The sequence below is a fragment of the Homo sapiens genome, chromosome 14 (assembly GCF_000001405.40).
Source record: "Homo sapiens chromosome 14, GRCh38.p14 Primary Assembly".
NCBI classification, from domain to species: domain Eukaryota; kingdom Metazoa; phylum Chordata; class Mammalia; order Primates; family Hominidae; genus Homo; species Homo sapiens.
In genome coordinates, this window is record NC_000014.9 from 49,744,200 (window position 1) to 49,762,140 (window position 17,941).

General features: G+C 39.1%; 1 protein-coding gene across 2 annotated transcripts in view; it reads left to right on the top strand.

Moving 5' to 3' along the window:
- The window catches only part of KLHDC1 (kelch domain containing 1), a 60,031-nt gene extending 51,080 nt beyond the window's left edge, over positions 1-8,951 (top strand). Inside the window, exon 13 of one of the 2 annotated variants that reach the window (NM_172193.3) lies at positions 7,387-8,951. In NM_172193.3, the coding sequence (NP_751943.1) occupies positions 7,387-7,573 (187 nt within the window). In that variant the 3' untranslated portion in view covers positions 7,574-8,951. Of the gene's footprint in view, positions 1-1,646; positions 2,786-7,386 lie in introns of those variants that run through there. The other variant, XM_011536422.3, reaches the window with a different exon arrangement.
- The last annotated feature ends 8,990 nt before the right edge of the window (positions 8,952-17,941 follow it).

Genomic DNA, 17,941 nt, shown 5'->3' on the forward strand with positions numbered 1-17,941 from the left:
AGGATGGCTTGAGTGCAGGAGTTTGAGGCTGCGTTGAGCTATGATCATGTTTCCTGTACTCCAGCCTGGAAATAGACTGAAAGCCTGTATATATGTGTGTGTGTGTGTGTGTGTGTGTGTGTGTGTATGTACACATACAATACAGTCACTGTTTTGTTTGTAAAATTGCCTTTAGTTTATATGGTAATATTAAACATACTATATTTCCTTAATTCTAAGCCTGACATTTTTCACATTTTAACTTTTTGGAAATTAGAGTGTGCCTAATAATATATATCATATATATGTTATATAGTCATTCCTTGGTATTTGTGGGGATCGGTTCCAGGAAAACCCCCACTTGGATACCAAAATTCATGGATGCTCAAGTCTCTTATATAGGGTGATGTAGTATTTGCATATAAACCTATGCCTATCCTACTATATACTTTAAATAATCTCTATATTACTCATAATTCCTAATACAATTTAAATACTATGAAAATAATTGTTACACTGTATTGTTTAGGGAATAATTACAAGAAAAAAAAAGTCTGTACATGTTCAGTACAGATGCAACTGTCATAAGCCTAACTATATTTTCAATCTGCAGTTGATTGAATCCACAGAGGAGGAACTTACAGATACAGGGGGCTGACTGTATATACACACATACACAGATATTTAATATAGAAGAATTTCTTTTTTAACCCCAAAGCTAGTATTAAGTTGGTGTTATGACTTGTAGTGTCTTAGTTCATACATTCTTACTCTAAAAGGAGTCTGTACAAAGTTTAGTGGGAGGATTATGGAAGAAGCCCCTATTTCTACCTGTGAGAGTTGGGAGGAAGGAGGCAGGATTTGAGAGATGTAGAAGTTGCCCAGTGAACAAGTGTGGGAATTTTATGCAGAGGGAATAACATAAGTGAAGACATATGAGAAAGAGAGAGATAAAGAGAGGGGACAAGTTATATTTCAAGGAGTATACTGTGACATTTAGATGTTCTATAACATGAACCACCTGAAAACCATTAGACTAGCTCAAACTGGACCTTTCTGACGTCTTTCTTAACTACCCCTTCTCTTAGCACAGTAGTTCTCAAACTAAACTCTCATGAGGGGCTTCAAAAAAATTAATGCCTGTGTTCTGCCCCTACAGATGATGATTTAATTAGTCCAGGGTGTGGCCTGCACTTTGGATTGCAAGTTCCTCATATGCAGGGATCAAGAAACACTTGAGTGCCTACTTGGGAAGGCACTGTGCCATGAAATAAGAAGGCATGGCCTTTCCCTAACATTGCTAATAATATAGAAGGTAGACTTTCAAGCTTCCAGACTTTTTCTACAATAGAAAAAGGAAATTGCCTTAAGAGAAACATATACAAAGTTTATGAGAATACTGGAGAAGAAGGCCTTTTGTCTGTCTATGATTAAGATGGCAAAGGTTAGGGAAGTCTTTGCAGAAGAAGGATTTGAGCTAAGAATTTGCCATGAACAAACAGTGCAAGGGTGTTAGTGTAAAGATATATACAAAAGCATAGTATGTTCTGGATACTGAATTCTTGAGCATTCCTGGAATGTAGTATGAGGCAGAGAGTTGCAAGAAATGATGTTGGACAAGAAATCAGAAATCATATGTCATCTAGAACTTTATCTCTCTTTTACAGTATCTGGTGTAAAGAGATCAAGAGCCATTGAAAAATTTGGAGCAAGAGAATAAGATGATCATATTACAAGTTAGACAATTCCTCTGGCAACAGAGTGGACGAAAAATTGAAGGGATATGTGACTGGGTAAAGAAAATTGGTAAAGAGACTATTACAGTGGTCAGGTACAGAGTGAATGTCTGATCTGGAAAGTATCAATGGGGCTGGAGAAGGAAGGGAGATGGAGATATTTAGGAGGGAGAATGGACTTGGTAGTTAAATAGATGCCAAGGAAAAGGAGTGGGGAGAATTAATGATAGGAGGAATATGGAGAAAGGCAGCAGTCTGAAGATGGCATAAGGGTAGAAATGATGAGTTTGGTTTTGGACGTGCTAAGTGTTTATGGGAACTGTAGTGGAGCTATCCATTAAATGCTTAAATATATGGAAAGAGGTCTGGGCCAGACATAAAATTTCATAATCATTGGAGAATTAGTAAGTGTGGATTAGCTCTGGCCAGGAGGAGTTTTAGAAGTAAGGAGAAAGCCAGCAACTCAGCATTAGGACCTTACTACATTTGAGGGGGAGGGAGAAGAAAAGGAGGCAGCAAGAGAGTGACCAGAGAAGTTGAAGGCTAGCCAGGAGATAATGGTAGCACAAAAACCAAGAGAAGGGAGATCTGAACAAGGAAAGACTAAAGAGATCCTAGAACATTTGGATTGAAAAGCACTGTGGATAGTACATATTTTCCCTCATCTCCATTTTCACAGTCAAGGATCCAGTGTCTGTAGTCTCACTTCTCACCACTGCTTCCAGGTTACATCATTTCACATGCAGGTGTTGCCATCTACTAACCTCCAGCTCATTTTCCCCCAGTCACTGAGGACTTTGGCCCTGGCTCACCACAGTCCCTTTTCTTGACTGATTTTAGCATCTGTGTGGAGAACTCTTTTCATTCTTTATGACCTTGCTCAGCACAGTTCCACCTGTGAAATCTTAAACTCCCATCCTCCTCTTGGACCAGAAACCTCTTATCCTGTTAATTCTTACACTCCCTTACTCCTTGGACTCTTCTCGGTTCTCCAAATAATAAGACCCTTCCACCCTTCCAGTTTTAGCTTTCTCTCTTTTTTTTTTTTTTTTTGAGACGGAGTCTCATTCTCACCCAGGCTGGAGTGCAGTACGCGATCTCAGCTCACTGCAAGCTCCACCTCCCGGGTTCACGCCATTCTCCTGCCTCAGCCTCCCGAGTAGCTGGGACCACAGGTGCCCGCCACCACACCCGGCTAATTTTTTGTATTTTTAGTAGAGACAGGGGTTTCACCATGTTAGCCAGGATGGTCTCGATCTCCTGACCTCGTGATTCACCCGCCTCGGCCTCCCAAAGTGCTGGGATTACAGGCGTGAGCCACCACACCCAGCCTTAACTTTCTTTCATATCCAGCCTAGTTCACCTGTACTTCTTTCTCTTGCCAGCAATTTTAATCCCCTTCTCCACCATTTCTCTGTTAGTGAAGGGTGACTTCTGGGGAAGAGCACCAAGACCGAGGGAGGATGAGTATGTTTGTTTATATGCCGGTTGGGCAGGAGAAGCCAATGGAGAGTAGGTTGTTAGAAACACAAGAAAATGCAGGAAAAGCGGGTAGAGCAGTGTCTTGAGAAGGTGATTTTAGCAAACAGATTTTTAAATTAGTCCTTGACTGGAGAAAGGATTCTTTTCTTTAAAATAGTGGAGAAAGAAGGAAGTATGGATATATAGATAGAAAACTTTTTTGGTTGGGGTGGGACATTGAGAAGTTCTAGTTGATAGTGAGGTCATCTGATAAGAGAAAAGAGAGGTGAGGATAAGAACTTAAGATGAATGGTGAAGATTTGAAGTAGCTGCCTAGGTGACTGCAGGAAGATGCTGACGTCTGTCTGCGGGATATATAACAAAGTAGCACGCAGCTGAGGTAGAATATCATCAATATGTAGTGGCACCATAGCTGAGAAACATGGCTTTCCCCAGTAGCACTAAACAGCTGGGTCGCAGGTGCAGAAAGGAGATGACTGGCTGAATTTATCCATCATTGCAGTTTGGCTGGGATGGGTAACAAACGGTGAAGGGGATTAAAATTGCTGGCAAGAGAATGAAGTGCAGGTGAGCTAGGCTGGATACAAAAGAAAGTTAAAACTGGAAGGGTCTTATTATTTGGAGAACCGAGAAGAGTCCAAAGAGTAAGGGAATGTAAGAATTAAAAGGATAAGAGGTTTCTGGTCCAAGAGGAGGATGGGAGTTTAAGATTTCACAGGTGGAACTGTCCTGAGCAAGGTCATAAAGAATGAAAAGGTTTCTCCACACAGATGCTAAAATCAGTCAAGGAAAGGGACTGTGGTGAGCCAGGGCCAAAGACCTCAGTGACTGGGGGAAAATGAGCTGGAGGTTAGTAGATGGCAACACCTGCATGTGAAATGATATAACCTGGAAGCAGTGGTGAGAAGTGAGACTACAGACACTGGATCCTTGACTGTGAAAATGGAGATGAGGGAAAATGTGTACTATTTTCTCAAGAAAGCTGCACACACAACAATTTTCTTAGATTTCAGAAAGTCAGAGGAAGCAGGGGTGTTTATAGAACATACAGCTGGTGTTCCAAAAAGCAAAAAACCCAGGTTTGGGAGGGGAGATAAGCAATGATGCAGAAGATGAAAAAGTGTAGAAATGATAGGAAGTGGCTTATATCGTCTAGTAGATTTGTGGGATCATGTTCATCTTACCTTTGGATATAAAAGAATATTATAAGAAATTAAAAGAAATAGCTATATTGTTCTGATTGTAAAAAGATGTATTTACCAAGAAAATTCATACGATATGAAAAGTATATAGTAAAAAAATCACCTATGAGCCATCGTAGGGGGTATATATATACATGTATTAGTAAAATTATAAAAATTGTACATGTATATATATGTATATATATACTGAGAGAAATTTTTTTTCTTTTTTTTTTCTTTTGAGACAGAGTCTCACTCTGTCACCAAGGCTGGAGTGCAGTGGCGCAATCTTGGCTCACTGCAACCTCCGCCTCCTGGGTTCAAGCAATTCTTCTGCCTCAGCCTCCCGAGTAGCTGAGATTACAGGCACGCACCATCACACCCGGCTAATTTTTGTATTTTTAGTAGAGATGAGATTTCACCATATTGGCCAGCCTGGTCTCGAACTCCTGACCTCATGATCCTCCCGCCTCGGCCTCCCAAAGTGCTGGGATTACAGGCGTGAGCCACCCCGCCCAGCAGAGAGAGATTTTATATATAAATCATTTATATAATGATCAATATATAACCCTATATACATGATTTTAATGATTTTATTAAATGATTAGAGTGAACTTAATCATGCTAAGAGGTCATTGGAAACCTCAGCAAGAGCAGTACACATATATGTATATGTGAATGTATAAAGGATCAAATTATGCAGTCTGTTTTGTAATATCTTTCATGTAAATAATCATTCAGTATAATAAATCTATACTTAAGTTAGTAATGGCTATATAGGTTCTATCTCGTGGAAATACAGTTTATTGGCTAGGTGCAATGGCTCAAACCTGTAATCCCAGCACTTTGGGAGGTCAAGGCAGGTGGATCACCCAAGGGGCAGGAGTTCGGAGTTCAAGACTAGCCTGGCCAAGGTGGTGAAACCATGTCTCGACTAAAAATACAAAAAAATTAGCTGGGCATGGTGGCATGCGCCTGTAGTCCCAGCTACTCGGGAGGATGAGGAGGGAGAATTGCTTGAACCTGGGAGGCAGAGGCTGCAGTAAGCCGAGATCACATTACTACACTCCAGCCTGCGCAACAGAGTGAGACTCCGTCTCAAAAAAAAAAAAAAAAAAAAGAAATACAATTTATTAACTAGTCTATTATATTTAGGATATCTGCAATTTGGGAATTTGGGGCTACTATAAAAATTAGGCATCAGGCTGGGCGCAGTGAGGCCTGTAATCCCAACACTTTGTGAGGCCAAGGTGGGCGGATCACCTGAGGTAAGAGTTCAAGACCAGCCTGGCCAACATGGCAAAACCCCATCTCTATTAAAAATACAGAAATTAGCCAGGCGTGGTGTGGCACACACCTGTAATAACAGCTACTCAGGAGGCTGAGGCAGGAGAATCGCTTGAACCCAGGAGTGGGAGGTTGCAGTAAGCTGAGATCAGGCCACCACACTCCAGCCTGGTTAACAGAGAAAGACTCCATCTCAGGAAAAAAAAATTAGTCATGAAATATTCTTATATATTACTATGGAAAACTGATGTATCACATGTTGTATTGTGATGATTCCTGCTTGGCTCGCACTGCCAGAGACAAACAGCAGATTCCTTCGCATGGTCCTCAGGGCCTCCATTTATCTGTCTCACCTCTGGCCATGCCCCACTCGCGCTCTGCCCTCCAGCTGTATTTAGACAATAGAAGTGCAGTTTCTGTAATCTTATTTCTCGTCTCTAGGGCTTTGCAAATGTGGTTCTTCTAGCTGGAATACCTTTGTTTCTTTAATTTGTTGAGGACCTCAAGGTCTCAGCTTGGACCTCCATCTGGAGAGTTTCCCCTGGCTTGCTAAGGTTGTCTTAGTTATTCTTCTCCTCTGATTCCCACAGAACCCTGTACCTCTACTTCAACCTCTCAGGACATTTTAACTCACTTCTTGTTTAGAGTTGTTCCAGAGTGGAGGGAAAAAGCTTCAAAGAGTAGAGAAGAACATCTAAATCTCTAGAGTATAAGTGCTTGTAAAAATGACAGCTAAAGTTACCCACAGCAGAATCAAATGAGTCTGTTAAAAAAATTTTTAACACTTATTTTTTTGAATTAAAGTTTATTAATTGAAACAGATGCTTTTTTGATAGTTCTTAAGTTTCTTGTGGTTTTAAAGTACAAAATGCTCTTCAAAATAGCATAAGATTAAAAAGGGCATTGTACTTGGAAGGATACTGCCCTCTAGTCTAATGGAATCAAAGGGGAAAAGAAATGAACACCCACGCCCCCAGAAGAGTAGAAACCCAAGTGGTCTCTTGGCACTTCCTGTATCGCTCCATTCCTGTCTTTCACCCTGCTCTCTCTGGGTCAAATAAGTCAAGTGTGTAACCCCCGTGCAGTTGTTTATGGAAGAAACATGGAGCAGATATAAAAATAGATGTTTCATCTTGAGGTGACAGAAGCAAAGGACAGTTCTGTGAGAAGGGTATATGGTTATTGGGCTGACTGAAAGGATGACATAAACAGGAGCTGCCATAGACTCATCTGGTTTGAAATTAAGTCTGAATCATTTTTACTTAAAGAACATTATGCATGGTAAGCCATATATTCTGTTTCCATTGGATTTTGGTCAGATTTAGTCTCTATGCTATAAAAATATATGATTATTATGGTGCTCTGGGAAAAAAAAATCCTATCATGTTCCAAACAAAACAAATGAATGCATTGCCATGTAAAATTTTTATGATGATTTTAAATTTTAGGAATACTTAACTATAACAAAGGATAAATGTTTGAGGGGATGGATACCCCATTTTCTATGACATGATTATTATGCATTGCCTGTCTGTATCAAAACATCTCATGTACCACATAAATATATGTACCTACTATGTACTGACAAAAATTAAAAATTAAAAAAAGATCTGTGAAAGTCCAATACTACAATGTTAAAAAAGAAAGAATTCTTAACTATAAATATTTTATATTATAACCTCAGGTTCAAGACTAATAATTCTGTTATGTTTTATTTACAGGTCATGCCTTGACTGCATTGGTAAAAATTCTATCATGTTAGAAAGTCAGATATCTTTATTACCTCCTAAACTTCTGCAACAAGTACTCAAAAAAATAACATTTTGGGCTGCAGCTAATCACCGAGAAGAACAAAGAGTCCAAAAAGAAGAAACAGAAAATAAATATCAGTGGATCAGTAGCAATTAAATTGTTATATACTTTACATATTTAGTATGTTTTAACTTTTTAATCAGACTATACATTTACACTCCCAAATTGCAGGCTTTATTTAAAGGATAAAATTTAAAGGATAAAAAAACAGTCACTCTGTTAAGTGACTATATGCCATGGGATATATGGAAAAAAGATATTAATGCAGATTAATTTATATTTGTAAACAAATTTCCTTACAAACTGCAGAACAAATATTCTTTCTGAAAGTAAGTACAGTTATAACAGATTTTAAATCAATGTGTATTCTTTACTGGAAAGATTACATACATTTGAGAATAAGAAATTACTCTCAAGAACTTCAGAAATCTGCAACATAATTTTATAAATATATAAATACATGTATGTATGTCAAAACACTACATATACACTTTCAGAAAGAATAAACTTTCTCAAGTCATTTTAAAGTTACCTAACGTTCTTCTTGAATAACTAATACAGTGGGTCAAATATTATAAAATAGGCAAACACCAAAATGGTATTAAATATTGAACTCCTGACCTTTTCGACACTTACCTAGTAAAGTATTCTTAGGCATCATCATAACTTTTCCTCACCTTTATTCGAATAGAGGAATAAATGTCTTCAGTTGTCTCTCCATTACCCCTAAGTTATTAGTTTGTCTAGTTTATATATAAAGACCATGTTTTAAAGTACATAAAGTGGAGGTTTATTTATCATACAGGCTTTGAAACATTAAGAAGCAGTATTTTTATTAACTTTTTGAGACATATTAAAATACATTTTGCCTTAGAAGACTGCTTCTAAAGTAATTTTTGTAAGTAATGAGATGGGATGGTAATCTAGTAATTTGACTTTATAGAAATCCCTCAGTTTGGCCCCCACCATTCTACAGAGTTGTACTCAAGACAGATACTGAAAAAATCTAATACCTTCCCTTGTATTTTCAGCATTACCATCTATACAGAAATGGAACACTGTATCTTTATATTCCTAAAAATGGTACTTTTGGCATAATTAAGAAATTTTTCTTCATATTATCACAATCATGCCCTTCCATTGAATTATTAATTACAATTAATTACTAAAAAGCTTGGTATGTAAAATTATTCTCCACAATATTACCATGCAAGTTATCTCTGAAATTTAAAATGTTAAAGAAAAACATTTCTATATTGAAATATATATAATTTATAATGAAAATTATAGTAGTTTGTAGTATTTCATTGAATTTTAGAGAGATATTTCATATATATGTACTGTATTTTGGATGTGTAAAGCTTCTATGTATTGAAATATTTTTTTACGTTTTATTTATTGTACAAAGTGTATATAATTACTGTTTTCTTTTTTGTCAGTGTAAAGCAGTCATTAGAATTGATTATACAAAAAATATTTCATTGTCAGTTTTCATTTTTCTATTTTTAGGCTGAATAACAGATTTAGAAAATGAATCTCACAAATAATTCACATCTTGGAAATAATTACCTTATTATGCTGTGGTGCTGATGAATTTAGCATCAGCCTTTTATATTTAAGGCAAAAATATATCAAAACCTAATTAGACACTGATAGATGACATTGAGCAGAAGGAACACCGTTTTAAAATGGCTTCTGGATTATGTGAATGCCTTGTCCCGCCTCTTAGAAGAGCACCTCTATTTTTAAATGATGTATTTGGAACATTAAAAGTTGGATTAGCCCCCTTAAAATACACACTCTCATGGGCTTTAAGAGAATGAAAATCTGGTCAGGTGCAGTGGCTAACGTCTATAATCCCAGCACTTTGGGAGGCTGAGGCAGGAGGCTTGCTTGAGGCCAGGAATTCAAGACCAGCCTGGGCAACATGAAGAGACCCTATCTGTTAAAAAAAAAAAAATCTCAGAATATTCTTACCATTGCCAGAAAGGATTCTTTTAAGGTTATTGTTATTTTTAATGTGATAAATAACACATCAAAATTAGTGTACCTTTTTTCCAAATAGTATTTTTGCAAAAGCACCTGTAAAAATACTTTTTAGAGGCCAGGCATGGTGGCTCATGTCTGTAATTCCAGCACTTTGGGGGGCTGTGGTGGACAGATCACTTGAGGCCAGGAGTTCGAGACCAGCCTGGCCAACATGGTGAAACCCTTTCTCTACCAAAAATTAAAAAATTAGCTGGGTGTGGTGGCATGCACCTATAGTCCCAGCTACTCGGGAGGCTGAGGCAGGAGAATCACTTGAATGTGGGAGGCAGAGGTTGCAGTGAGCCAAGATTGAACCACTGCATTCCAGCCTGGGCAACAGAGTGAGACTCCGTCCAAAAAAAAAAATATATATATATATATATATACACACACATACTTTGGAACTTTGTACTGTCAGCTGACACAGTGATGTTTTCACCAATGTGGGTTTTTTTTGTTTTTTTGGGTTTTTTATTTTGAGACAGAGTCTCTGTCGCCCAGGCTGGAATGCAGTGGTGCGATCTCAGCTCACTGCAACCTCTGCGTCCCAGGTTCACGTAATTCCTGTGCCTCACCCACCTGAGTAGCTGGGATTACAGGTGCATGCCACCACGCCCAGCATTAATTTTTGTATTTTTAGTAGAGACGGGGTTTTGTCATGTTGGCCAGGCTGGTCTCGAACTCCTAACCTGAAGTGATCCGCCCACCTTGGCCTTCCAAAGTGCTAGGATTACAGGTGTGAGCCACCACGCCCGGCCACCAGTGTGTTATTTGTACATGTATTTGAGAGAAATAAAGTCACCATGATAGAATAATTGTCAGGGTAGTGCATACTATTGATGAATTAAAATTTAGATTTCAGAATTTCTGGGAGGAAAAGAAGCAATTTTAAGGAGCAGATGATCCCCCTACTCACGTTTTTTTGCCTCTCTTTCCATTGTATTAATTTAATTCTTTTGGAATTTCCAGTTTGATGAAGTTGCCATACAGTCCAGCATGTGGGCACAGCATGATTTTTTCAAATGATTCAATGTCTGTTGTTTACATTATGGCTCATTCTTGGTGTTGTATATTCTATGGGTTTTGACATGTATATAAGGACATGTATTCACCAGTGTAGTATCATACAAAATAGTTTCACTGCCCTAAAAAATCCTCTGTGCTCTGCCTGTTCATTCCTCCCTCTTCTCTAACCCCTGGAAACCACTGACATTTTTACTGTTTACATAGTTCTGTCTTTTCCAGAATGTCGTATAGTCATACTGGCTTCTTCACTTAGCAGTATGTATTTACGTTTCTTCCATTTCTCTTCGAAGCTTGATAGCTCATTTCTTTTTAGCGTTGAATAATATTCCATTGTCTGACATACCACAGTTTATCCATTCATCTACTGAAAAACATCTTGGTTGCTTCCAAGTTTTGGCAATTATGAATAAAGCTGCTATAAACATCTGTGTGCAAGGTTTTGTATAGACATAAGTTTTCAGTTCATTTGGATCAATACCAAGGATCAAGATTGTTGGATCATATGGTAAGAATATATTTAGTTTATTAAGAAACCACCAGACTACCTTCCAAAGTGGCTATACTCAATGAATGAGAGTTCCTGTTGCTTCACATCCTTGCCAGCATTTGGTGGTGTCAGTGTTTTGGGTTTCTTTGTTCTGCTAGATATGTAGTGGTTCATATTGTTTTAATTTGCAATTTCCTAATGACATATGATGTTGACATTTTTCATATGCTGACTTGCCGTCTATATACTTTGGCGAGGTGTCCAGGTCTTTTGCCCATTTTTTTCAATCAGGTTATTCATTTTCTTATTGTTGAGTTTTAGGAATTCTTTGTAATTTGTAGATAACAGCCGTTTATCAGCAGTGACTTGCAAAATTTTCTCCCAGTCTGTGGCTTCACTTAACATTGTCTTTGACAGAGCAAGTCCATCTCATCAGTTCTTTATTTCATGGACTGTGCTTTGGTGTTGTATCTGAAGTCATCAACAAACCCTAGATTATCCAGGTTTTCTCTTCTCTTCTACAAATGTTACAGTTTTATGTTTTACATTTAGGTCAGTGGCCCATTTTGAGTTAAGTTTTTTTAAGGATGTAAGGTGTTTGTCTAGATTCGTATTTTTGCATGTCGATGTCCAGTTGTTCCAGCACCATTTGTTGAAAAGACTATCTTTGCTTCATTAATACTGCTTTTTCTCCTTTATCAAAGATCAGTTTACTATATTCACGTGGATCTATTCCTGAGATCTCCATTCTGCTGCATTTGTTTATTCTTTTGCCAGTACTATGCTGTCTTTAATACTGTCACTTTATGGCAAGTCTTGAAGTTGTGTAGTGGCAGTCCTCTGATGATGTTCTCTTTCAATATTTTAGATCTTTTGCATTTCCATATTAATTTTAGAATCAGTTTGTCAATATGTACAAAACAACTTGCTGGAATTGTTATTGGGATTGCATTGAATCTGTAGATCAAGTGAGGAAGAACTGATATTTATTTATTTATGTATTTATTTATTTATTTATTTATTTATTTGAGATGGAGTCTCGCTCTGTCGCCCAGGCTGGAGTGCAGTGGTGCGATCTTGGCTCACTGCAACCTCTGACTCCCAGTTTCAAGCGATTCTCCTGCCTCAGCCTCCCGAGTAGCTGGGATTACAGGTGCGCACCACTATGCCTGGCTAATTTTTGTATTTTAGTAGAGACGGGGTTTACCAGTTCGAGATCAGACTGGTCTCGAACTCCTGACCTCTTGATCTGCCCACCTCGGCCTCCCAAAGTGCTTGGATTACAGGCGTGAGCCACTGCACCCAGCCAGAACTGATATCTTAACAGTAAATCTCCTGTCCGTGAATATGGAATATATCTCCAATTATTTAGATGTTCTTTGAAGATTTTCATCCAAGTTTTATGCATATTTTGTTAGACTTATACCTATGTAATTTTGGGTGCTGCTAACATAATGCTAATGTGTTTTTAATTTCAAATTCCACTTACTCATTACTGATATAGGAAAATGATTGGCTCTTGTATATTAATTCTGTATCCTGAAACCTTGCTATAATTGCTTATTAGTTCCAGGAGGGATTTTCTGGTCAGATTTTCTACATAGATGATCATGTCATCTGCTAACAAAGACAGTTTTATTTCTTCCATCCCAAACTGTATAAAATTTCCTTTTCTTGTTTTATTGCATTAATTAGAACTTTCAGTATGATATTAGAAAGCAGTGGTGAGAGAGGGCATCGTTGCTTTGTTCCTGATCTTAAGGGAAAGCTTTGAGTTTCTCACCATTATGTCTTATGTTAGCATAGGTATTTTGTAGATGTTCTTTATTAAGTTGAGGAGATTCCTGTCTATTCCTAGTTTGCTGAGAGTTCTTATCATGAATGGGTGTTGGATTTTGTCCAGTGCTTTTCCTGTATCCATTGATGTGCTCATGTGATTGATTATGTAAATTGATTTTTTTTGTTGTTGTTGTTGAGACGCAGTCTGGCTCTGTTGCCCAGGCTGGAGTGCAGTGGTGTGATCTCGGCTCACTGCAACCTCCACCTCCCGGGTTCAAGTGATTCTCCTGCCTCAGCCCCCAAGTAGCTGGGATTACAGGCTCCTGCCACCATGCCAGGCTAATTTTTGTACTTTTTAATAGAGACAGGAGTTCACTACGTTGGCCAGGCTGGTCTCGAACTTCTGACCTCAAGTGGTCTGCCCACCTTGGCCTCCCAAAGTGCTAGGATTACAGGCATGAGCCACCGCACCTGGCCGTTAATTGATTTTCAAATGTTAAACCAGCCTTGCATATCTGGGATAAATCCTACTCAATTGTGGTATATAATTCTTTTTGCACAGGATTTGCTAATACAGATGTTCCACAACTTTTGTTGGTGTTAAGTCCCAATAAGCCCATTGTAAATTGAAAATATAAATCAAAAAATGCATAGTACACCTAACCTACCAAACATCATAGCCTAGCCTACCTTAAACAGGCTCAGAATACTGGCCAGGCATGATGGATCATATCTGTAATCCCAGCACTTTGGGAGGCCAAGGTGGGCAGATCATAAAGTCAAGACATCGAGACCATCCTGGCCAACATGGTGAAAACCTGTCTCTATTAAAATGCAAAAAATTAGCCAGGTGTGGCACCGGGCGCGGTGTCTCACGCCTGTAATCCCAGCACTTTGGGAGGCCGAGGCGGGTGGATCACGAGGTCAGGAGATCGAGACCATCCTGGATAACACGGTGAAACCCCATCTCTACTAAAAATACAAAAAAATTAGCTGGGCGTGGTGGTGGGTGCCTGTAGTCCCAGCTACTCGGGAGGCTGAGGCAGGAGAATGGCGTGAACCCGGGAGGCGGAGCTTGCAGTGAGCTGAGATCGTGCCATTGTACTCCAGCCTGGGCTACAGAGCGAGACTCCGTCTCAAAAAAAAAAAAAAAAAAAAAAAAAAAATTAGCCAGGTGTGGTGGCCTGCTCCTGTAGTCCCAGCTACTCGGGAGGCTGAGGCAGGGCAATCGCTTGAACCCGGGAGATGGAGGTTGCACTGAGCCAAGATTGGGCCACTGCACTCCAGCCTGGTGACAGAGCAAGACTCCGTCTCAAAAAAAAAAAAAAAAATGCTCAGAATACATATATTAGCCTATTGTTGGGCAAAATAATCTAAGACAAAGCCTATTTTATAATAAATCGTTGAATACAGTATAGTACAGTATTGGTTGTTTACCCTCATGATTGCATGGCTGATTGGGAGCTGCAGCTTGTCACAGCTGCCCAGCATAAGCGAGTATGATATTGCATATAACTAGCCCAGGAAAAGATCAAAAATCAAAATTTGAGGTACAGTTTCTACTTAATGGTTATTACATTCATATCATCATAAAGTCAAAAAATCCTTAAGTAGAACCATAGTAAGTTAGGGACTGTTTGTATTTTGTTGAGAATTTTTGCATCTATATTTATGAGGGGTATTAGTCTGTAGTTTTTTTTACCCTGTCTTTGCCTGGCTTTGATATTAGGGTAATGCTGGCCTCATATAATTAGTTAAGATATATTTTCTCAGGCTGGGCACAGTGGCTCACACCTGTAATCCCAGCACTTAGGGAGGCTGAGGTGGGTGGATCACTTGAGGTCAGGAGTTCGAGACCAGCCTGGCCAACATAGTGAAGCCCCGTCTCCACAAAAAATACAAAAAATTAGCCAGGTGTGGTGGCAGGCGCCTGTAATCCCAGCTACTCAGGAGGCTGAAGCACGAGAATTGCTTGAACCCAGAAGGCGGAGGTTGCAGTGAGCCAGGATCACATCATTGCGCTCCAGCCTGGGAGACAAGAGTGAAACTACATCTCAAAAAAAAAAAGGAAGAAGTATTTTCTCTGCCTCTAATCTTCTGAAAGAGATTGTAGAGAATTGGGGTGTTAAAGTCTCCAGCTATTTTTGTATTGGGGGTCTATCTCTCTCTTTAGCTCTACTAATATTTGCCTTAAACATCTGGGTGCTCCAGTGTTGAGTGCATAGATATTTAAAATTGTTGGCCAGGTGCGGTGGCTCATGCCTGTAATCCCAGCACTTTGGGAGGCTGAGGCAGGTGGATCACCTGAGGTCAGGAGTTTGAGACCATCCTGGCCAACATGGTGAAACCCTGTCTCTACTAAAAATACAAAAATTAGCTGGGTGTGGTGGCACACGCCTGTAGTCCCAGCTACTTAGAAGGCTGAGGCAGGAGAATCACTTGAACCTGGGAGGCAGAGGTTGCAGTGAGCCGAGATGGTGCCACTGCACTCCAGCCTGGCGACAGAGCAAGACTCCATCTCAAAAAAATAAAATAAAATTGTTATATCCTCTTGCTGAATTGACCCTTTTATTATTATGTAATGACTTTGTCTCTTCTTACAGTTTTTGTCTTGAAATTTATTTTGTCTGAATAAGTATAGCTTCTCCTGCTCTTTTGTTTGTTTGTTTCCATTGGCATGGAACATCTTTTTCCATCCCTTTATTTTCAGACTGTGTGTCTTTATAGGTGAAGTGCATTTCTTCCAGGCAACAGATCATTGAGTCTTGGTTTTTTTTTTTAATTCATTCAGCCACAACATGTCTTTTGATTGGAGACTTTAGTCTATTTACACTCAATATTATTATTGATAAGTAAGGACTTACTCCTGCCATATTGTTATTTGTTTTCTGGTTCTTTTGTGGTTTTCTCTTCCTCCTTTCCTTCTTGTCTTCCTTTTAGTAAAGATGATTTTCTCTGGTGGTATGATTGAATTTCTTGCTTTTTATTTTTTGTGTTTCCATTATATGTTTTTTTGATTTGAGGTTACCATGAGGCTTGCAGATACTATCTTAAAACCTATTATTTTAAGCTGATAGCTACTTAACACTGCTTGCATAAACAAACTAACAAGCAAAAAGTAAACTAATAAAACCTCTACATTTTAACTTAATTCCCCAGCTTTTTAATTTTTTGTCATTTCTATTTATTATTGTCCTATATATGTCTTGAAAATTTGTTGTAGTTATTTTTGACTAGTTCATTTTTAGTCTTTCTACTTAAGAGTAGTTTGCACACCACAGTTACAGTGTTATAATAGTCTGTGTTTTTCTGTGTATTTACTATTACCAGTGAGTTTAGTACTTTCAGATGATTTCTTACTGCTCACTGACATCCTTTTCTTTCTGATTGAAATACTCCCTTTAGCATTTCTTATAGGACAGGTCTGGTACTGATGAAATCCCTCAGCTCATGTTTGTCTAGAAAAGTCTTTATTTCTCCTTCATGTTTGATGGATATTTTCACTGGACATACTATTCTAGGGCAAAAGTTTTTTTTCCTTCAGAATTTAATTTTGTTTTATTATACTTTAAGTTCTGGGGTACATGTGCAGAACGTGCAGGTTTGTTACATAGGTATACACGTGCCATGGTGGTTTGCTGCACCCATCAACCCGTCATCTACATTAGGTATTTCTCCTAATGCTATCCCTCCCCTAGCCCCCCACCCCCCAACAGGCCCTGGTGTGTGATTCCCTGTGTCCATGTGTTCTCACTGTTGAACTACCACTTATGAGTGAGAACATGATGGTGTTTGGTTTTCTGTTCTTGTGTTAGTTTGCTGAGAATGATGGTTTCCAGTTTCATCCATGTCCCTGCAAAGGACGTGAACTCATCCTTTTTTATGGCTGCATAGTATTCCATGGTGTATATGTGCCACATTTTCTTTATCCAGTCTATCATTGATGGGCATTTGGGTTGGTTCCAAGTCTTTGCTATTGTGAATAGTGCCGCAATAAATGTGTGCATGTGTCTTTATAGTAGAATGATTTATAATCCTTTGGGTAGATACCCAGTAATGGGATTGCTGGGTCAAATGGTATTTCTGGTTCTAGATCCTTGAGGAATCGCCATACTTGTCTTCCACAATGGTTGAACCCCGGAGGTGAAGGTTGCAGTGAGCCGAGATTACGCCACTGCACTCTAGCCTGGGTGACGGAGCGAGACTCTCGTCTCTCAAAAAAAAAAAAAAAAAATTTATTCTTCTGTTTCCTCTGTGTATTTTCAAATAGCCTGTCTTCAAGCTCACCATTTATTTCTTCTGCTTGATCAATTCTGCTATTAAGAGACTGATGCATTCTTCAGTATGTCAGTTGCATTTTCGAGCTCCGGAATTTCCGCCTGATTCTTTTTAATTATTTCCATTTCTTTGTTAAATTTATCTAATATTATTCTAAATTCCTCTTCTGCATTATCCTGAATTTCTTGAATTTCGTTGAGTTTCCTCAAAACAGCTATTTTGAATTGTCTATCTGATAGTTCACATATCTCTGTGTCTTCAGGATTGGTCCCTGGTGCCTTATTAAGTTCATTTGGTGTGGTCACGTTTTCCTTGATGGTCTTGATACTTGTGGATGTTCATCAGTGTCTGGGCATTGAAGAGTTAGGCATTTATTGTAGTCTTCACAGTCTGGGCTTGTTCGTATCTGTCCTCCTTGGAAAGGCTTTGCAGCTATTCAAAAGGATGTGGGTGTTGTGATCTAAACTGTTATCTGCATTGGGGGGGATTCCGTGCCCTGTGAACTGTGGTTCTAGCAGACTAATAGAGGTGCCACCTTGGTTGTCTTGGATAAGATCTGCAAGAATTCTTTGGATTAACAGATAGAGACTCTTGTTCTCTTCCCTTACTTTCTCCAAACAAATTGAGTCTCTCCGTTCTGAGCTACCTGGAACTGGGGGTATGGTGATGCAAGTACTCCTGTGGCCACCACCACAGGGACTGTGCTGGGTCAGACATGGAGCCAGCACAGCACTGGATGTCACCCAAGGCCTACTGTAACCCCCACGTGGCTACTGTATAGGTTTCCTGAAGGCCCTAGGACCCAGGTGGCATGGTCAGCCAGGCTTTTGTCCTTCTCTTCACAGTGGACCTTTCTCTCTTTCTAA